Source organism: Homo sapiens, chromosome 21 (assembly GCF_000001405.40).
Source record: "Homo sapiens chromosome 21, GRCh38.p14 Primary Assembly".
In the NCBI taxonomy this organism is placed as follows: domain Eukaryota; kingdom Metazoa; phylum Chordata; class Mammalia; order Primates; family Hominidae; genus Homo; species Homo sapiens.
The window spans coordinates 46,584,904-46,606,896 of NC_000021.9; the positions used below are offsets into that span (position 1 = coordinate 46,584,904).

Below are 21,993 nucleotides of genomic sequence, written 5' to 3' on the forward strand. Positions count from 1 at the left end.
AGGATGGTCTCGATCTCCTGACCTCATGATCCACCCGCCTCGGCCTCCCAAAGTGCTGGGATTACAGGCATGAGCCACTGCGCCCAGCCTCACAAAATATTCTTAAAAATTGAAGAGGGAACACTCAGTTTATGAAGCCAGTATTATCTGATACCAAAACCAAACATCACAAGAAAACTACAGACCAGTATCTCTTATGAATATGAACAGACAAATCCAACAAAATACTAAAATGAAATCCAGCAACATATAAAAAGAATTGGACACTAAGACCAAGTGGAATTTATTCCAGGAATCCAAGATTGGTTTAATATTTGAAAATTAATATATGCCATATCAATAGAATAAAAAAGCCCACATGATTATCTTTATAGCAGCAGGAGGCAGGTAGAGGCAGGTCCCTGGTGTAACGCGACCTTCAAATCAAAGACAGGTTAAAGCCTGAATGTTGGATTGAGAGGGATCATGGCGGATGGGAGGTAGGACTAGATTGCAGCTCTGACTCAGAGCAGCATGTGGAGACTTGCATCATGAATTTTTCCTCCAGAACAACTGCAAGAACAAATCAAGAAACCTGAGAGGACCCACAGACCCCTTGAAGGAAGCGATTGCTCCTGCAGGACCCAGGAGAGAACCTAAATACTCAGCCACAGCAAGACCCGCCCGAGGAGAGCTTGAGCTCAGATATGCCTAGCCCTGCCCCCACCCAATAGTCCTTCCCTACCCACCCTGGTAACTGAAGACAAAGGGCATATACTCTTGGGAGTTCTAGGGCCCCACCCACTGCCTGTTCCTCCCCATACTACCACAGCTGATGCTGTCTGGAAAGTGCCACCTCTTGGCAGGAGGCCAACCAGCACAAAATAGTGCATTAAACCGCCAAAGCTAAGAGCCCTCACAGAGTCCATTTCACCCCCCTGCCACCTCCACTGGAACAGATTCTGATATACATGGCTGAGAGACCCACAGACAGTTAACATCACAGGACTCTGTGCAGACAACCCCCAGTATCAGCCTGGAGCCTGGTTGACTTGCTGGGTGGCTAGATCCAGAAAACAGATAACAATCACTATAGCTTGGTTCTCAGGAAACCACATCATTAGGAAAAGGGGGAGAGTACTACATCAAGGGAATATCCCATGGGACAAAAGAATCTGAACAACAGCCTTCAGCTCTAGACCTTCCCTCTGAGAGAGGCTACCCAAGTGAGAAGGAACCAGAAAACCAACTCCGGTAATATGACAAAACAAGGTTCTTTAACACCCCCCAGAATCACACTAGCTCACCAGCAATGGGCCCAAACGAAGAAGAAATCCCTGATTTACCCAAAAAAGAATTCAGGAGGTTTGTTATAAAGCTAATCAGTGAGGTACCAGAGAAAGGCAAAGCCCAATCTAAGGAAATCCAAAAACTGATATAAGAAGTGAAGGGAGAAATATTCAAGGAAATAGATAGCATAAATAAAAAACAATCAAAGCTACAGGAAACAATGGACACATTTATAGAAATGCAAAATGCTCTGGAAAGTCTCAGCAGTAGAATTAAACAAGTAGAAGAAAGAAATTCAGAGCTCAAAGACAAGATCTTTGAATTAACCCAATCCAACAGAGACAAAGAAAAAAGAATAAGAAAATATGAACAAAACCTCCAAGAAGTCTGGGATTATGTTAAAAGACCAAACCTAAGAATAATCAGTGTTCCCGAAGAAGAAGAGAAATCTAAAAGTTTGGAAAACATATTTGGGGGAATAATCAAGGAAATGTCTCCAGCCTTGCTAAAGACCTAGACATCCAAATACAAGAAGCACAAAGAACACCTGGGAAATGAATCACAAAAATATCATTGCCTAAGCACAATGTAATCAGGTTATCTAAAGTTAAGGCGAAGGAAAGAATCTTAAGAGCTGTGAGACAAAAGCACCAGGTAACCTATAAAGGAAAACCTATTATATTAATAGCAGATTTCTCAGCAGAAACCCTACAAGCTAGAAGGGATTGGGGCACTATCTTCAGTCTCCTCAAACAAAACAATTATCAGCCAAGAATTTTGTATTCAGCAAAAGTAAACTTCATATATGAAGGAAAGACACAGTCTTTTTCAGACAAATGCTGAGAGTATTTGCCTGTACCAAGCCACCACTACAAGAACTGCTAAAAGGAACTCTAAATCTTGAACCAAATCCTGGAAAAACATCAAAACGGAACGTCTTTAAAGCATAAATCTCACAAGACCTATAAAACAAAAATATAATTTAAAAAACAAAAACAAAAACAATAAGCCAAGGTATACAGCAACATATAGCATAATGAATGGAATGGTGCCTCACATCTCAATACTAACATTGAATATAAATGGCCTAAATGCTCCACTTAAAAGAACTTGCAGAAACTTAAGGTACACAGGTGGAAAAGACATTTCATGCAAATGGACACCAAAAGTTAGCAGGAGTAGCTATTCATATAACAGACAAAACAAACTTTAAAGCAACAGCAGTTTAAAAAGACAAAGAGGGACATTATATAATGATAAAAGGCCTTGCCCAACAGGAAAATATCACAATCCTAAACATATATGCACCTAACACTGGAGCTCCCAAATTTATAAAGCAATTACTAATAGACCTAAGAAATGAGATAGACAGCAACACAATAATAGTGGGGGACAGGCTGGGCATGGTGGCTCACGCCTGTAATCCCAGCACTTTGGGAGGCCGGGGAAGGCAGATCATGAGGTCAGGAGATCGAGACCATGGTGAAACCCCATCTCTACTAAAAATACAAAAAAATTAACCAGGTGCAGTTGCGGGCGCCTGTAGTCCCAGCTACTCGGGAGGCTGAGGCAGGAGAATGGTGTGAACCCGGGAAGCAGAGCTTGCAGTGAGCCAAGATTGCACCACTGCACTCCAGCCTGGGTGACAGAGTGAGACTCCGTCTCAAAAAAATAATATAATAATAGTGGGGGACTTTAATACCCCACTGACAGCACTGAACAGGTCATCAAGACAGAAAGTCTACAAAGAAACAGTGGATTTAAACTATACCCTGGAACAAATGGACTTAACAGATATATACAGAACATTTCATCCAGCAACCAAAAAATATACATTCTATTCAGCACGTGGAACTTTCTCCAAGATAGACCATATGACAGGTCGCAAAATGAGCCTCAATAAATTTAAGAAAATTGAAATTATATCAAGCACTCTCTCAGACCACAGTGGAATAAAAATGGAAATCAATTCCAAAAGGAACCTTCAAAACCATGCAAATACATGGAATTAAATAATTTGCTCCTGAATGATCATTGGGTCAAAAATGAAATCAAGATGGAAATTTAAAAAATTCTTCAACTGAACGACGATAGTGACACAACCTATCAAAACCACTGGGACACAGCAAAGATGGTGCTAAGAGGAAAGTTCATAGCCCTGAACACCTACATCAAAAAGTCTGAAAGAGCACAAACAGACAATCTGAGGTCTCACCTCAAGGAACTAGAGAAACAAGAACAAACCAAACCCAAACCCAGCAGAAGAAAGGAAATAACTAAGATCAGAGCAGAACTAAATGAAATTGAAACAAACAAACAAAAACAATACAAAAGATAAATGAAACAAAAAGCTGGTTCTTTGAAAAGGTAAATAAAATTGATAGACCATTAGCAAGATTAACCAAGAGAAGAAGAGAGAAAATCCAAATAAGCTCAATAAGAAACAAAATGGGAGATATTACAACTGACACCACAGGAATACAAAAGATTACTCAAGGCTACTATGAACACCTTTACACGCATAAACTAGAAAACGTAGAAGAGATGGATAAATTCCTGGAAAGATATAACCCTCCTAGCTTTAATCAGGAAGAATTAGATATCCTGAATAGACCAATAACAAGCAGTGAGATTGAAATGGTAATTTAAAAGTTACCAAGAAAAAAAGTCCAGGACCAAATGGATTCACAGCAGAATTCTACCAGATATTCAAAGAAGAATTGGTATCAAGCCTATTGAAACTATTCCACAAGATAAAGAGATAACCCTCCCTAAATCATTCAATGAAGCCAGTATCACCCTCATACCAAAACCAGGAAAGGACATAACCAAAAAAGAAAACTACAGACCAATATCCCTGATGAACACAGATGTTAAAATCCTTAACAAAATACTCACTAACTGAATCCAACAACATATCAAAAAGATAATCCACCATGATCAAATGGGTTTCATGCCAGGGATGCAGAGACAGTTTAACATACACAAGTCAGTAAATGTGATACACCACATAAACAATTAAAAACAAAAATCACATGATCATCTCAAAAGATGCAGAAAAAGCATTCAACAAAATCCAGCATCGCTTTATGATTAAAACTCTCAGGAAAATTGGCATACAAGGGACATCTATGAAAAACCCACAGCCAACATAATACTGAATGGGGAAAAGTTGAAAGCATCCCCTCTGAGAACTGGAACAAGACAAGGATGCCCACTCTCACCACTCCTCTTCAACGTAGTACTGGAAGTCCTAGCCAGAGCAATCAGCCAACAGAAAGAAAGAAAGGTCATCCAAATCGATAAAGAGGAAGTCAAACTGTTGCTTTTTGTTGATGATAGGATCGTTTACCCAGAAAACTCTAAAGACTCCTCCAGAAGGCTCCTAGAACTGATAAAAGAATTCGGCAATATTTCCAGATACAAAATGTATGTACACAAATCAGCAGCTCTTCTATACACCAACAGCAACCAAGCTGAGAATCACATCAAGAACTCAACCCCCTTTACAATAGCTGAAAAAAAAATTTAGGAATATACCTAAATGAGGTGAAAGACGTCTACAAGGAAAACTATAAAACACTGCTGAAAGAAATAATAGATGACACAAACAAATGGAAACACATCCCATGCTCATGGATGGGTCGAATACATATTGTGAAAATGACAATACTGCTAAAAGCAATCTACAAATTCAACACAATTCCCATCAAAATATCACCATCATTCTTAACAGAATTAGAAAAAACAATTCTAAAATTCACATGGAACAAAAAAAAAAAAAAGCCCGCATAGCCAAAGCCAGAGTAAGCAAAAAGAACAAATCTGGAAGCATCACATTACCTGATTTCAAACTATACTATAAGGCCATAGTCACCAAAACAGAATGGCACTGGCATAAAAATAAGCACACAGACCAATGGAACAGAACAGAGAACCCAGAAATAACCCAAATGCTTACAGCCAACTGATCTTCAACAAAGCAAACAAAAACATAAAGTGGAGAAAGGACACCCTTTTCAACAAATGGTGTGGGGTAATTGGCTAGCCACATGTAGGAGAATGAAACTGGATCCTCATCTTTCACTTTATACAAAAATCAACCCAAGATTGATTAAGGACTTAAATCTAAGACCTGAAACTATAAAAATTCTAGAAGATAACATTAGAAAAACCCTTCTAGACACTGGCTTAGGCAAGGACTTCATGACCAAGAGCAAATGCACTAAAAACAAATATAAATTGCTGGGACTTCATTAAACTGAAGAGCTTTTGCATGGCAAAAGAATAGCAGCGTAAACAGCCCACAGAGTGGGAAAAAAATCTCCACAACCTATACATCTGACAAAGGACTAATATCCAGAATCTACAATGAACTCAAACAAATCAACAAGAAAAAAAAATCCCATCAAAAAGTGGACTAAGGACAATTCTCAAAAGAAGACATACAAATGGCCAACAAATATATGAAAAAATGCTCAACATCACTAATGATCAGGGAAATGCAAATCAAAACCACAATGTGATACCACCTTACTCCTGCAAGAATGGCCATAATCAAAAAATAGTAGATGTTGACATGGATGTGGTGATCAGGGAATACTTCTACACTGCTGGTGGGAATGTCAACTAGTACAATCACTATGGAAAACAATGTGGAGATTCCTTAAAGAACTAAAAGTAGAACTACCAGCAATTGATCCAGCAATCCCACTACTGGATATCTACCCAGAGGAAAAGAAGTGATTTTATGAAAAAGATACTTGCACATGCATGTTTATAGCAGCACAATTCGCAACTGAAAAAAATGTTGAAGCAACCCAAATGCCCATCAAACAACGAGTGGATAAAGAAATCGTGATGTATATATATATGAATACTGTATAGCCACAAAAAAGGAGTGAATTAATGGCATTCGCAGCAACCTGGATGAGATTGTAGACTATTATTCTAAGTGAAGTAACCCAGGTATGGAAAGCCAAACATTGCATGTTCTCACTCATAATTGGGAGCTAAGCTATGAGGACGCAAAGGCATAAGAATAATATAATGGACTTTGGAGACTGATAGAATTTGGCTGTGTCCCCACCCAAATCTCATCTTGAATTCCCATATGTTGTGGGAAGGACCCAGCAGGAGGTAACTGAATCACGGGGCAGGTCTTTCCTGTACTGTTCTCATGATAGTATATCTCATGAGATTTGATGGTTATTATATGGGGGAAGTTTTCCTGCACAAGCTTTCATTCTCTGTTTGCCTGCTGCCATCCACATAAGATGTGACTTGCTCTTCCTTGCCTTCCACCATGATTGTGAAGCTTCCCCAGCCATGTAAAACTGAGTTCTCCATTAAACCTCTTCCCTTTGTAAAGCCTTTCCTTTGCCCAGTCTTTCCTTTGCCCAGTCTTGGGTATGTCTTTATCAGCAATGTAAAAATTGACTAATACAGTAGATTGGTATTCAGTAGAGTGGGGTGCAACTTAAAAGATACCCAAAAATGTGGAAGCAACTTTGGAACTGAGTAACAGGCTGAGGTTGGAACAGTTTGGAGGGCTCAGAAGAGACAGAAAATTGTGGGAAAGTTTGGAACTTCCTGGAGATTTGTTGAATGGCTTTGACCAAAAGCCTGATAGCGATATGAACAATAAGGTCCAGGCTGAGGTGGTCTCAGATGGAGATGAGGAACTTGTTGGGAACTGGAACAAAGGTGACTCTTACGTTTTAGCAAAGAGACTGGTGGCATTTTTCCCCTGTTGTAGAGATATCTGGAACTTGGAGCTTGAGAGAGATGATTCAGGGTATCTTGCAGAAGAAATTTCTAAGCAGCAAAGCATTCAAGATGTGACTTGGGTGCTGTTAACGGCACTCAGTTTGATAAGGGAAACAGAGCATAAAAGTTCAAAAAATTTGCAGCCTGACAATGTGGTAGAAAAGAAAAACCCACTTTCTGAGGAGAAATTGAAGCCGGCTGCATAAATTTGCATAAATAACAAGGAGCTGAATATTAATCCTCTAGACAGTGGGGAAAATGTCTCCAGGGCATGTTAGAGGTCTTCACAGCAGCCCCTCCTATCACAGTCCTGGAAGCCTGGGAGAAAACAGTTTCATGGGCCAGGCCCAGGGTCCCTGTGTTGTGTGCAGTCTAGGGGCTTGGTTCTCTGCATCCCAGCCACTCCAGCTGTGACTGGAAGGAGCCAAGGTGCAGCTTGGGCTGTTACCCAAGGGTGGCGGCCCCAAGCCTTGGCAGCTTCCACGTGGTGTTGAGCCTGTAGGTGCACAGAAGTCAAGAATTAAAGTTTGGAAACCTCCACCTAGATTCCAGAAGATGTATGGAAATGCCTGGATGCCCAAGCAAAAGTCTGCTGCAGGGGTGGGGCCCTCACGGAGAATCTCTGCTGGGGCAGTGCAGAAGGGAAATGTGGGGTTGGAGCCCCCACACAGAGTTCCTCCTGGGGCACTGCCTAGTGGAGCAGTGAGAAGAGGGTCACAATCCTCCAGACTCCAGAATGGTAGATCCACAGACAGCTTGCACTGTGGGCCTGGAAAAGCTGCCGACACTCAATGCCATCCCATGAAAGCAGCCAGGAGGGAGGCTGTACCCTGCAAAGCCACAGGGGCTGAGCTGCCCAAGACCATGGGAATCCACCTCTTGCCTCAGTGTGATCTGGATGTGAGACATGGAGTCAAAGGAGATCATTTTGGAGCTTTAAGATTTGACTGCCCCACTGGATTTCAGATTTGCATGGGGTCTGTAGCCCCAGCATTTTGGCCAATGTCTCCTATTTAGAATGGCTGTATTTATCCAATGCCTGTAGCCCTACTCTATCTACGAAGTAACTAACTTGCTTTTGATTTTGCAGGCTTATAGGCAGAAGGGACTTGCCTTGTCTCAGATGAGACTTTGGACTGTGGGCTTTTGAGTTAATGCTGAAGTAAGACTTTGGGGGACTGTTGGGAAGGCATGATTGGTTTTGAAATGTGAGGACATGAGATTTGGGAGGGGCCAGGGGTGGAATGATATGGTCTGCCTGTGTCCCCACCCAAATCTCATCTTGTATTCCCATGTGTTGTGGGAGGGACTTGGTGGGCAGTAACTGCATCATGGGGGCAGGTCTTTCCTGTGTTGTTCTCATAATAGTAAGTCTCACAAAATCTGATGGTTAGTATAAGGGAGAGTTTTCCTGCACAAGCTCTCACTCTGTCGTTGCCTGCTGCCATCCACATAAGATGTGACTTGCTCCTTCTTGCCTTCTGCCATGATTGTGAGGCTTCCCCAGCCACGTGGAACTGTGAATTCTCCATTAAACCTCTTTCCTTTGTATGTTGCCCAGTCTCAGGTATGTCTTTATCAGAAGTGTGAAAATGGACTAATACAAGGACTTGGGGAAAGGGTGGGAAGGGAGTGAGGGATAAAATACTATAAATAGGGTGCAGTGTATATTGCTCGGGTGATGGGTACACCAAAATCTCGCAAATCACCACCAAAGAACTTATTAGTGTAACCAAACACCACCTGTTTCCCAATAACCTATGCAAATAAAATAAAATTTAAAAATTGCTACAGAAAAGGAAAAAAAAACCTGAATGCCAAGCTCCAAATCTCAGATAAATCCATGGACCGGATTGAGAACCTCTCTTCCCATTTGATGTGCTTTCCTCTGATTGACCCCCACCCTTCACCTATTTTACATATACCTACCCTTCCCTAATTGTTTTTTTTTACATTTTTACATTGTTGTTTCCATCTTTGAGTGGTGCCTTTGTTTTAGCCTTTTTTGCATACTCACAAACCAATCACCACACACTCCCCCATTCTGAGCCCATAAAAGCCCCAGACTTGGCCAGGTGCGGTGGCTCATGCCTGTAATCCCAGCACTTTGGGAGGCCGAGGTGGGCAGATCACAAGGTCAGGAGATTGAGACCATCCTGGCTAACACGGTGAAACCCCGTCTCTACTAAAAATACAAAAATTAGCCAGGCGTGGCAGCATGCGCCTGTAGTCCCAGCTGCTGGGGAGGCTGAGGCAGGAGAATAACATGAACCCGCGAGGCGGAGCTTGCAGTGAGCTGAGATCGCACCACTGCACTCCAGCCTGGGCGACAGAGCGAGACTCCATCCAAAAAAAAAAAAAGGCCCCGGACTCAGCCACACTTGCAGGGACTGCCCACCTTCAGGCACAGGGAGGACTACCTGATTTTGGGTAAGGGTAGTGCACCCAACTCGTGTCCCCCTCTCTGCTGAGAGCTGTTTTGTCACTCGATAAAATTCTCCGCCCTGCTCACTCTTTGGTTGTCTGCATAACCTCATTCTTCTTGGACGCGGGACAAGAACCTGGGACCCGCTGAACAGCAGGTGCAAAAAGGAGCTGTAACACTGTAGCCCTCCTTTACTCCCCTGATGCCAGCTGGCCCATGCAATGGGAGTGTTGGTGGGGCCAGGCCAGCCTGGGAGCCATGGGCCAGAGTGGGGTGATGGGAATAACTGAACAGAGGTCCTGCTGGCTAAAGAAGCTTCCAGCTGGCAAAGCAGCAACAACAACAAAAATCCTGCATCAACCTCGGTAAACACAGAAAAAGCTTTTGAAAAAAATCCAAAACCCTAAGAATATAAGGGAAATTTACCTGATAAAGGGCAACTACAAAAACCCACAGTTAACATACTCAATGGATACTTAATGGATCCTTCCTCACAACTGAGATCAGGAACACCCAGGGGCTGGGGATTTCACAAGATGTGAAGACCAGTAGGAAAGGGTGGGGTGCACTTTAGTGCACTATCTGCACACCACCCAACACTCCTACTTTCTTGAATGAGGAGACTGCAGTCCAGAGGGGCCTGGCTACTGTAAGCCTGGGCAAAGGCAGTGATGTCCCTGCTCAGGAATCCTTGGGTATTAGAGAAGCTGAGGCCTTTTCCACTCTCTGCCTTGCACAGTCAACTCTTGAGTGAGGGGGCTGGTACACCCAGAGGATGGTCACAATTCCTCTAGAGGTATAATCTAGGCAGACAGTGCTGTCTTGCTGATCTGGTGTTATTAACTTCCCTGAGGAAAAAAATCACCTGAATTCTTGTTTGATCAGTCTCACAGCTAAAAACCCCAGGGAGTCATGGTCCCACTTCAGACCTGGGGGGCCTGGTACTTGGGATATGTAGCAAGATCCCAGCAGAGTTTTGTGCAGTGAGCTGTAGGGGGCCATGGGACCCAATATGCCCTCTGCAGTGTCCCCCACCCCCTCACAGAAGAGGAAAAGTTCAGGAGTGGCCTCCTGAACACCTGAGACGCACCTCAGGGATCTGTATTTTAAATTAGGGGTGCTGGGGTAAGAAGACATAAGAAAAGCTCCTTCTAGCCCAGCCAAGTCTGGCCTCCTTCCTGCAAGGTTTAGATCCTGGGGGCTTTGGGCTATTTTCCTGAGAAGAATGCCAACCTCATCCTCAGCTCTCTGCTCAACATCCAGCCCTGTGTAAAAGCTCTAGGCTTGCCTCATGCTAACTTGCTTGAATAATGTGTATTTTCTGCACTCCTTCAGAGAGAGGCCAGCCCTTTTCTCCCTAAATGCAGTGAAAGGAGGTTGTGCCATTGTCTTGCCTGCCAGGTTGCTGGTGGACATGGCTGTAAGGGTCATAATTAAGGGGGGTCTCAGGACAGAGAGGCCAGGCATCCCTTGTGCTCACCCACCTGGTCCCCAAGGCAGCCCAGTTCTTGGTAAAGAAATACTGCCAGGCAATAGCTGGGCTCTTGTGGGACAGGGCTAGTGGAACCTACTTGGGTGTCTCCATTGCGAGCAGAACGTAATAGCTGTGTGTAGAAGGTCCCACTGGATGAAGGGCCAGTGGAACCTTCCTCTGATGCCCAAACACTTCCATCTATCTGCAATTACAAAAATCTGATTTGTGTCTGCACAAGATAAGGGTGGAATCCCTAAATTTAAGAACCCCAAAACAAAAGCAAACAAACCAAGGTGTCTCCCACAACTTCCTACGAAGTTTCCAAACTCTCTCCAGGGTCTTGGCTGGGGGCATGTGGGTTCAAGGGCCCCCATTTTGCCTTGGAGACCAGGATGGGGCCTCACAGGGCAGAGCTGCAGGGAACAGTAATGGGCCCATGGGCTCACAGGGTGTCATGCTGTGGAGACAAACTGCCCATAGTGGAGATACCCAAGTAGGGCCCCAGCCAGCCTGGGGGAAATTTGATTCCCTTGTTGGTTGCAAGAGGAGCAGGGTCTGGCTGAACAGGCCTGGGGCCCTGCAGAGGTGGGGATCTGGAACAGTAGACAAGAGAGAGCCAGAGCTTGACAGAGGGCCAGGGGAGCCCAGGATCACCAACTCTCCACTTCCGTCCTCACTGCTCCCTTTCCCCAGGCAGGGGCATGGGGTCAGGAGGGCACATAGTCCAGGGCTTGAGAGCCCAATAGCCTTCCTGCTGTCTCTGTCCCTGCTGGTGGGTACAGGTGGGGTATGTCCAGATACTGCCTGGGGGCCCAAGGCCTTACCCCCCGCAATCCAATTATTAGATGATGATTCCTCCTTTTGGTGGCAGGAAAGTCTGGCAATTGTGTTGCTTGTACTTCTGGCAGGGACAGCAGCCCCTGTAGAGGATGGTCCGCAGCGTCCAGAGATGGTGGGTTCCTGCAGCCCAACTTCTCAACAGCACCTTCTCACTGCAAGTCAACAAATGGGGTCCTCAGCTTGGCCCCAGGGTCTCCACCCTGAGAGACCAACACTGCTGGCAGGGCCAGATTTGCGAAGTGGCTGTGGCCCAGAATCTTGTGGATCAAACGGAGAAATTGATGGAGCACAGAAAATTTCTGTGGCTGAACTGGCCATGGAAATGGCAGCCTGGGCAACAGGTTCATGAAAACAGACTTTTCACACCTGGTCCTGCTCTCCAGGCCTGAGCGAACTCCATGTGTTCCTGGTCAAAGCTGGGGGCGGGTTTCCCCCACCCCCTTGCCCGGGCCCATCCCCTGTCCACCTGGGGATGCTGGAGGCAGCCTTTGGGGTAGGCCAGGCCTGTGCTGGCCACCAAGCTGTGGCGACTACCACCACCCACTCATGGAACTGGAAGGTGCCTCTGGGTGAGGGCGGGCCACACTCAGCTAGGGATTGCCAGGAGAGGACGGTTGGCATTTACAGCCTGGAACTAACGGCAGTTGATTGGATAAGTCCCCCCAGACCCCCTTTGGATGGTGGAGGAGCCCCCGTGTGCTCAGAAGCTGCCCTGGGAATCCCTGAGGGATGGTGCTGGAGCCAAGCTCCTTGGAGGACCAATGTTCTCCCTATCTGGTTTGGAAGCAGAGTAGGCTTCTGGGGACTTAGTCACTTTAGGATTCTTGGATCAGTGTGGGCAAAAGAGGCTCTGGAAGGGCCGATTCAACTTCCGGCCGAGGCGGCAGAGCATCCTCTGGGGAGGAATGCAGGTGGGAGGCGGGCACCCGAGCCAAGGGCAGCCCAGAGCTGCCCCCCGGCAGCAGCGCCCCTCCCGCCCCCCAACTTAAGGTCGCACCCTGGGCCTCCCAAGCTTGGTCTCCTGCCCGCCAGCCCAGAGCATGCACCAGGACCAGCTTTGCAGGGCCCGGTGCGAAATGAAAACATCGCCCTTTGGCCAAAAGTAACCACGAATTTCCAGAAGGCGAGAGCTGAGCGAGAAGTGAGCACAGGGCCCTGGGGACTCCCCAGGTGGCTAGATGTGAAGTGGCCTCGCTGGGTCCCCTCCGGCCTCTCCCAGGCCCCTCTCACCAACCCATCTCTCGGCCATCACAGCTGTGGTTCCTACCTCTGCCCCACCCAGCCTCGGGCCCTGCGAGCCTCCGGGCCTCCCACACTGCCTGGGACAGGCAGGACTTCCTGTTTTACCCGCTACTGTTCAGAAGGCACAGAGGGACCCTGAGGAACGTGAGCTTTCTGAGATGGAGGCCAAGGACCACGGGGAGCGCAGTGAACACCGGGAATGGGGCTGGTGGCCCAGCATGCATTGTGGAAAGGCACGTGACTGCCCGGGACCATTGGCAGCTCCCCTTCCTGGTGATTGGCTTAGGGAAGAACATGTGACCCAACAGGCCGGAAGTCCCCTGTGGAGTGGCTGGACGCCCCCGGGGAAGCCTCCCCCTAGCGGGGGCAGAAGGGAAGCCGCGTTTTTTGCTTGCGTTGCCTTTTGATGGCGCTGGATCGCTGTTGCTGCGCTTTTTTTTTTTTTGAGAAGGAGTCTTGCTCTGTCGCCCAGGCTGGAGTGCAGTGGCGCGATTTCGGCTCACTGCAACCTCCACCTCCCGGGTTCAAGCGATTCTCCTGCCTCAGCCTCCCAAGTAGCTGGGAATATAGGCACGCGCCACCACGCCAGGCTACTTTTTGTATTTTTGGTAGAGACGGGGTTTCACCATGTTGGTCAGGCTGGTCTCCAACTCCTGACCTTGTGATCCACCTGCCTCGGCCTCCCAAGCTGCGCTCTTTTTATTGAACGCAGGCCCTCGCGGTGGCTCAGAGCCCCCGGTAGTGCCCTCGGAAGCCGCATGTGCTGGAGGCACGTTGGAGGCAAGGATCCTGCAGCCGCGACTTGAATCGCATGGGTCACGGAGGCCACGCTGGAGCCCCCAGAGCTGGCTCGGATTGCGAGTTCTGATGGAGTTGCTTTTTCCAGGAGCGCTGCCAGCGCTGAGCGTTCACCTGGTGATCAGGCGCATCCCGGGAAGCAGGCCGAAGCCACCACGCCCTTGCAGGGCCACACCGGCCAACCAGCTGTTATCTGCATGGATGAGGAACGCATTTAAAGAACAGCAGTGTTTTCAAATAATGCTGGATAAGGCTTTGTTTTTTAAAGGTAGTGGAAGTTTTAAGGGTGCCCCGGGGTAATTTCTGTAGTCAGGGTTCCCTCCGGGTTAGGGTCTACACGGCCATGGCGGGCTGCACGGTGCACGCTTTATCACTGAGACCTGACTCCTAAGTTACTGTTAACAAGAGTCCCTGGGGCCAGTCAGCTTACACACAGGCCTAATATAGCAGAAAGAATGATGCAGGCCGTTAAAACAGCCTTTGGAAAGAGGTTTTCAATTTTTCAATCACAAAGCAAATCAAGCTTCCTAATTAGCTACAACACGGCTGGAAAGCTCAGCTCCTACTAGGCTGCAAGCCCTTGCTGTCTGCTTTCTTGCATGACCGTCTCTGTTACAGGAAAGGTTTGGCTGCTTTCTAATCTCACTCATGTTCAAAGAACTCGTGGCAGGCAGTAGTAACCATGGCAACAAAGGCCATGAATTCCTGGAAGTCACATTCGCCGTCTCCATCATTGTCCAGTGTTTCCATGACTTTGTCCACAACCTCCTGCTCTTTGATTTCCTAAGAGAGATAAAAGGAGTTGCCGACCTTGTTTTTAAATGGAATTTTGGACCATCAAAACATGATTAAAAGTTGAGTGACTCTGATAATTTGTGTCCGAAATAACCTAAGAACATCAAATGCAAAATATCAGAAAAGATGTCTCATGTGACCAGGGGGCTGTTGTCCAAGCAGAAATCTCTGGGGGTCAGTGTCTGGCCCTGAGCTACTGGAAAAGGCTGAATGGAACAGCCAAGAGGTGAAAAACTGAAGGTTGTTATCATACTTAAAATACCTGAAAAAAAAAAATACCATCTAGATCAGCCTGAGCAAATGTCTTGAAATAAAAATAAACTTTTGGCCCTCCTAAACTTTTCGTGTGTTCTGTGTGTGGAAGTCCCTGTCTCAAAGGCTTCCAGTGGAATTTAATGTTTTGAAAGTCTTCTTTGTTGCTGAAGTAACTCTTGGGAACGTGGCCTACATTTGTTAACCCTGTATTCTTTTTCCCACTTGAATTGCTTTCTAGGTGTCATGAAACTTTTTCCTGACAGTTCTGCCTGACATTGAAGCCAAATGAATGGTGTGGCTGTTAAGTGATGTGCACAGCCTCAGAGGAACAACCACAGTGCAGGGCTACAAACGTGGTGGGAAAAATTTGGGTATTGAACACTGATGAAGAGCATAAATGCAGAGTAACAATTCTCCGGGATAGGAAGGCTTGGCCTGAAGAAGTCAAGTGTAATGTACAACAGCTGCCTTGGCTATAAGACACACAGGGGTCAGGCACGGTGGCTCACACCTGTAATCCCAGCACTTTGGGAAGCTAAGGCAGGAGGATAACTTGAGCACAGGAAGTTTGAGACCAGCCTGGGCAACATAGGGAGACTCCATCTCTACAAAGAAAAAATAAAACAATTAGCTGGGCATGGTCCATGTGCCCGTATTCCCAGCTACTCAGGAGGCTGAGGCGGAGGATCGCTTGAGCCTGGGAGGTTGAGGCTGCAATGAGCCAAGATTGCACCACTGCACTCCAACCTGGGTGACTGAGCAAGACCTTATCTCAAAAACTAAAAAAGTAAACAAAACATACAGAAGATTGTAACTCCACGGGGGTAGAGGTGGGGAGGCACCTGTGGATGGGCAGGAGCAGGGCACTAACTTCAATTATATTATACATCTGCTTCCGAACTGAAATTACCTTGATAAAACAGGGCAGCAAATGTTTGTGATGCCTTGAAATGCTTACCATGAATTATTTATCATTTACAAATTGAAATTCCCAAGTGCAAAGCTTTTTCTATGTATAAAAATAATAATAGTAGCTACTATTAGTTGAGCTTTCACTATATGTTAAGCACTTAAGCACTGTCCCGCTTCACCCTCACAACAGCCCTTGTTCAGAAGAAGAACCTGGGACTCTCAGATCAAGTCAGAAGGCAAGATTGGTGGAACTAGAAAACTGCATGTGTGAGTGGGACTGCTGTCACTCTGTCGGCTTGAATGCCTGAGAAAACCAGTCCTGGAATCAGATGTGGGGACACCCTCTGCAAAGTTTCAGGCCTGTCTGCTCCACTCTGAACCATTCACGGTGGGGCAGTGTTTGGTGGGAGTGGGGACAGGAGAACCAGCCAGCGCCCCCTCCCCCTGCCCTGAAAACACGGACTGCCGTGCTGCTGGAGCCAGGGCTTGCCGTCTTGCACTGAGAGGCTTGGCCAGCTCAGGAGGGCAGCTCCCCGTCCCCATGCAGCAGAGCCCTGCCCTGGTATTTATCCTGGAATAGGGCTTGGTGAGACACTAGTGCGCTGGCTCATTGTCTGGTCATTTATCCCGTTTGTGATTGCTCATATCAGTGACCCAGGAAGCCCTTCACTACGTTTCATATGTGCACACCACTGGTGCTTCACTCTGGCTCAAGGCGTGCCTCAAGCCAGCCTTGGTTCTAAGAGAGCATCAGGTACCAGGGGGATCACAGTTCACTTCCATGAGGGCATGAGGTGGGCAGTAAAGACAGGTGGGTCTGATCCAAGGACAGTGGAGACGGTGGGTAGGAAAATGAGCCCTAATGCAAGGGTCTGGACATACTTCCACCACAAGCCACAGCGGGAACTGCCTGAAGAACAGGGCTTGCCAGGAGCCCCCACACAGCTTCCTAAAGTAGGGGCCCCAACTAAAGACAGTTCCTCACCAATATCCGTTACTCCACAGAGCCTCCTGCAAAGCCCCAGGGCTTCCAAAGGATGTGTACAGACCCCTGTCACGTCCTCAGTTAAGCCAGTCATGGTCATTCATCCATGTGCCAGGCTGGGTGCCCCAGAGCAGAAGCCATGTCTGTCGTGCCTGCATATCTCACAGTTCTTAATTAGTGCTCAGTCAGTGTTTACTGAGTGAAAGTCTGGCATATCTTATCTCCATAGCAAATACTAAACTTCTAGCTAAAGCCAAAATATATCCTTTTCCTAAAAACATTCCCAAAGCTTATTTTTAACAGTTTCCTTTTATGTTCCCTTTGGTCCATGGTAAGTAATGAGTCTAGCATTATTTGGGACGCTTTGGCCTTTGGGACCTTGATGCACCTACTGTACACAAGATGGTTGATAAGGAAATGAAAACAAGGGGCTCATTTGAGCCAGCCCCACACTGAGGGTTCCGTTACTCAAACAAGTTTGCAGAAGCAGCCCAGGAGTCTTGGAAGGGAAATGAAATCACCTTCAGGGCAGCTGAGAAGATAAAGCCAGTGTACAGATGGATTTTAAGAGGAGATGGAGAAAGTGTCAAGTTTAAAAAGCAAGACTCACCTCTAAGAAATGGGAAAGCTCATTGTTGATGAGCTCCTTCAGTTCGGATTTCTTCAGCTTGTGCTTGTCTCCCTCCCTTCCAGAATATTGGTGGAAAACGTCGATGAGGGCCACCATGGCCTTCTCCAGCTCAGACATCCTAGGGGCTCGCAAAGGAAAGTTGCCTTCTCATCTATACCTCATCCTAAAACATTTCATATGTTATCAATACAGACCTCAACCCAGACAAGGGGGATGGAATGGCCTTGGCACTCTTTTCAAGCTCAGAGCAGCAGGCATGGCCTGGAGGGGCATTCTGGGAATTTGCACTTTTATCATAATCCTTCCACCGGCCTCTTAGACAGCTGTGGGCCTGCCTTCTCTGTCCGTGTGGGCCACGGGGATATATTCCCATGCCCTCTGAATTCTGGCTGGGTTGGGCCAACAGGGAAACTGGCAAAAATACAGAGGCAGAGCAGCAAGGGAATTCAGGGATTAATTTCCCCTGAATTAATCCCCACAGGGTCCCTCTCTGTTCCTGCAAGGCTCCAAGATGAGGTGGTAGAGTGCAGGTGAGCAAACCATCAACTGCAAGCTGTTAAAATCAATCTGAAAGTGAGACAGTGACTAGGAGCAAAATAAGAAGACAAAAAATCAATAGCATTCCTATATTCTATCAGTAAAGAAGTAGAAAATACAGTGCAAAATATCCTATGCATATAGCAATAACATGTGATCTAAGACTAAGTTTAGGAAGAAAAACGTAGGTCCTTCCAAGAGATTCTGAGGAACATAAAATGTAGGAAGTTTTTCCTTTAAATTCATATGTAAATTTAAATCATTTTTAATAAAAACAATGGAATTTTTTTGGATGGGTGACATGACAAAAACAGCTGTAAAATTCATCAGGAAAAATAAATATGGTAGAATTGCCGCAATCTTTTTGAAGAATAACAGTGAAAGTTATTTGATCTACCAGGAAAAAAAAATGTATCCTAAGTTTAACTGATCAAATGGGTGTGGTTCTGTCGCAGGGAGGGACAGAATCCAGCAGAAAGCTGAGCTGCTGAGCCTGCATTCCACCTCCAGTGTACCGAAAGGGTGGCTCATTCACTGCAGTGACTGGGACGGCGGGAGGGGGTGGGGGCAGGAATAGGTGTTTCTCTGCAGCTGTCAAAGTAAGAGCCCCCCTACCTCCCTCACAGCAAGTACCTTACGCCACAGCCTACGAACCAAGGAAATATCTGGTCAGTCTGGGAATGAGGCGCATTTTACAAAGGTTGCCTTGTCAGTTGTTTCACAAAACAGATGCGCAGTCAGAGAAATTTACCAGCTTTTGGCCTTGAGTTCTAATCATTAAATAAGAACGTTTGCGCTGTCATAATTAAAAACAAATTAATAAATCAAATAGTGTTGAAAAATCATTCCCATGTTGAATATATAACTTACATCTTAAAAATAATTTGGAATTATTTTATTTATTTCTGATCCTCCGAAGGAAACAGGATTGAAGATTTTTTTATACTGGCCAGATCTTTGCTAAAGTCATTCTATTAATAATCAGTGTACTTTATTTTGCTCTTGAGTCCCTAAAAATTTGATAATTCACAAATAGAACAATTAAGATGGATTAAAATCTTTAACATTTCATGCTTTCTTATTCTTTGCACTCAAGTTTTCAATTATTGATATATGCATGTTTGTATGTGTGTGTATTTTTTTAAACAAAACAAGACACTTTTACATCATTCTGATGCTCCTCAAAGTCCATGATGATTTGGGGAAAAGGAGGTTAAATTGTTTTTCTATGAATTGTGACTAATGGGATTATTACAAAGGAAAGGCATAAAACATGTATCCCATATATTAGAACACTAATAGAAACCACTAGAAAATATGGTTTTCTTCATAACCACACTACAAATCAATTAAATTCTTGTTAAATTTTTCCCTTTGACCTAAGAAATAGTTGATGGTTTATAGTTTATCTTTTAAGAGAAATGGAAATAAATGTCCGTTTCTTTCTCACATTCTTTGAATGTCCTACATTAATCTTTTAATATTGAGAACAAGAGAACTTTTGAACTTTAACTCCTTAGAAAGACAAGTTACCTAGCGTGTGAGGATCCCTCTAAAGAAGGGGTTCGACCTCCCTGAGAAACTGTGAGACTGAGGAAAGTTAAAACCCACCAAAACCCCGATTTCTTTGACCCAATTTATTTGTAATTGTTACGTAATTTCTGAGTGGCGTCCTGGGGCTGTGGGGACCCTGGCACTTCAAACTGAGGGAAACTGGAAAACTGAAGAGTTACTTACCCAGGGCGGTGGAAGAAATATAAGGAGAAAAGGGAAGCATTTATTTATGATATAGGACTAAACTAGCATTAGGTTCTCCATCATTTTTAGCCCCAGTGGGAAGCAAAATCTTTACTCTTCAAATAGTTACAGAAGAGGCAGTATTTGTAGTACCGCTGGGAAAATGTCAACAATCACTTCTGGGCCATGAAACCTGACGTTTCTCTGATTTATGGCAAAACACACCTCTAGCTGTCTAGGGCTGATGCAGTCAGGTGTCCACAAAGCAGCAGTAATGTGGAGATTAAAACACATCATCCTATTGACACTTCTGAAATGCTGCCAATTGTCCTAAAGGGGCTTTTTAAGCTACCACTTAGTTTCTACCCCTCCATTCCGTTCCACCCAAAAGAAAAGAACCATTTCTTCCTGAGCGTCCTCTTGGCCTGGCTCTTTCTCACCTCTTCCTTGTCTCACCCCTTCCTGGTCTCCTTGCTGCAGGCGTCGTCTCTGCTGCGGGTCCTGGGCGGCAGGACTGGTGGGCAGAGGCAGCCTCTTATTCCCTCTGCCCAGGGAGGATGGATGAACCCTGGTGCAGCCCACTGCAGGCCGTGGCAGCCAATGGGAGCCGAAGGCGGGGGTGGCAGGGCTGCCAGGCCTGCACACAGGGCTGCATTGACCAAGCAGCCCCGGGGACTTGCTGGGAGCCAGGATTGCACATGGGCTGAGGAAGAAAAAAGGGCCTGTAGGGCAGGAAGTGGGGAGTCAGCTTTTTGTGCGATTTCTTTATTACATGAATATTGATGTCACCCTAAAGGCAAGGTTGGGGGTGGGGAGAGGAGAGAGACTTGGATTAATTGATTCAAACAAAGCAAATGTGCAGCCAAGAACAAGCAGCTTCCAAGTACAGGCTGAGCATAGGAGATTAAGTGGCCTGCAAGTTGGTTTCTAATGGAGAGGCCCCTGGAGCTTCTCTCCTCTGCCATCCTCCAAGTCTGGCCCCACTGGGCGTGAAGTTCTGTGGACAGTAGTGCTTGTCTGTGGTCAGCCCTGGGCTCAACGGGGCTGCCTCAGAGAAGCTGCTGAGGCCAGTGTCTGCAGGGACTAAAACGGGTGGTACTTTTAGGGGAAAACGTGATGTGTGGACTGTATCCCAAGGCCTTTCCCTCCACCCCAGGGTGGAAGGTCACAGACTCTCAGAGTTGGACGATGCCTTAGAGATGTCCCGTTCGAACGCTGTTTTACAGAGGCGTGTGGACGGTGTGCCCCCTTGCTGAAGCCTCCAGCCAGCCTGAGGAAGGAGAAGTCCAGCTGTCCCCTCAACTCGCTCGACTGGAGCCTCTGAACACGGGGGCCAGTTTATGGGTTCTTCTTCACAAGAATGAAGAAGTAGGTGTTCCTTCTGACAAATTACACAAGAACATTGGCCCAAACTCTCCAAAAATGTCCATGGTCCCCAATGGATGCCTGACCCAGCATCACGTCCTTCTCCCAACCCAGTTTCAAAGTGGCCGTGAAAGGGTTTCCCACAAGATATCTGTGTACATGGCTGTCTTGCTGTCATTGTTTTATCCAGGACGTTCTCTACCATTCAGGATCTGTAAGTGTGCCCTGGAAATAGCACAGGGCTGAGAGCTGTGGTCTTGCGTGGCTCAGCCTGCCCCAGCCTCCTGTGAGGAACAGCCTGAGCAGTGTGGTTGGCCCTCACTTCCTCATCGGCTTCACCACCCCTGGCTGTGGTCTCTGCTGAAGGATCTGACACAGGCTTGCTCTGTGAAGCACAGAGCTTGCCCAGGCCCAAGGAAGGCACAACTGTGCTCTGTGCCCCTTCCTCGCTCAGATGTTGGAGGGACCATTCCTGTAAGTGCTGACCACTTCCCCAGAGTGGCAGCCTGAGCTCTGGATTAACCCTTCAGTGTCCATAGAAAACGCTCTAGCCTGCTCCTGCAGGGGTTAAAAATAGTTTGAAATCCACTCATGCAATGACCGTACACCTGTGCTTAGGGCACTGCGTTCAGCAGGAGGGCCCAGCCGGGCCTGCCCTCTGCACACTGCAGCTTCCTGGGATGGCAAGTGTGGGGCCGTGGGTCCACCCTGTTCCCAGGTCTTGGAAGCAGGCTGAGAGAGAGGATCTGCCACAGGGAGGAAAAGGGCTTTCAAGCGCTCTGGGGCCCCAGGATGGTATTCTTTGCCCAGGCTCCCCAGGAGCTCGTGGATACAACCTCACCAGCTTCCCACAGATTCCTACAATTGCTGGGTCTGAATCTTGGCTCCACCATTTAACAGTGGTTTGACTTTGGATAAATTCCTAAGCCTTTCTGTGAAAGGGGTGACCGTAGTCCCTA

At 46.4% G+C, this 21,993-nt stretch overlaps 1 protein-coding gene across 2 annotated transcripts, besides 1 other annotated feature; it reads right to left on the reverse strand.

Moving 5' to 3' along the window:
- S100B (S100 calcium binding protein B) lies at positions 13,701–20,179 on the reverse strand. Of its 2 annotated transcripts, none has more exons than NM_006272.3 (3): positions 20,110–20,179; positions 17,375–17,513; positions 13,701–14,600 (listed from the first exon to the last, which is right to left on the reverse strand). In NM_006272.3, the coding sequence occupies exons 2-3, from the start codon at positions 17,510–17,512 to the stop codon at positions 14,460–14,462; spliced, it is 279 nt and encodes a 92-aa protein (NP_006263.1). In that variant the 5' UTR covers position 17,513; positions 20,110–20,179; the 3' UTR covers positions 13,701–14,459. The 2 variants fall into 2 exon arrangements, with proteins under 2 accessions (NP_006263.1, XP_016883913.1); XM_017028424.3 differs by having other exon boundaries at positions 17,375–17,520.
- Positions 21,217–21,718: an enhancer, noted in NCBI's record as "H3K4me1 hESC enhancer chr21:48026033-48026534 (GRCh37/hg19 assembly coordinates)". NCBI's record gives its function as "activates a minimal SCP1, AML or CMV promoter by ChIP-STARR-seq in naive H9 embryonic stem cells {active_cell/tissue: H9 hESC(naive)}" and the evidence as "EXISTENCE:reporter gene assay evidence [ECO:0000049][PMID:30033119]".

Excerpts from the sequence above, each read along its gene's own strand:
- S100B (NM_006272.3), bottom strand. The coding sequence starts at position 17,512 with ATGTCTGAGCTGGAGAAGGCCATGGTGGCCCTCATCGACGTTTTCCAC. Across the intron at positions 14,601-17,374 it reads AGCTTTCCCATTTCTTAGAG|GAAATCAAAGAGCAGGAGGT; the intron begins GTGAGTCTTGCT and ends TATCTCTCTTAG.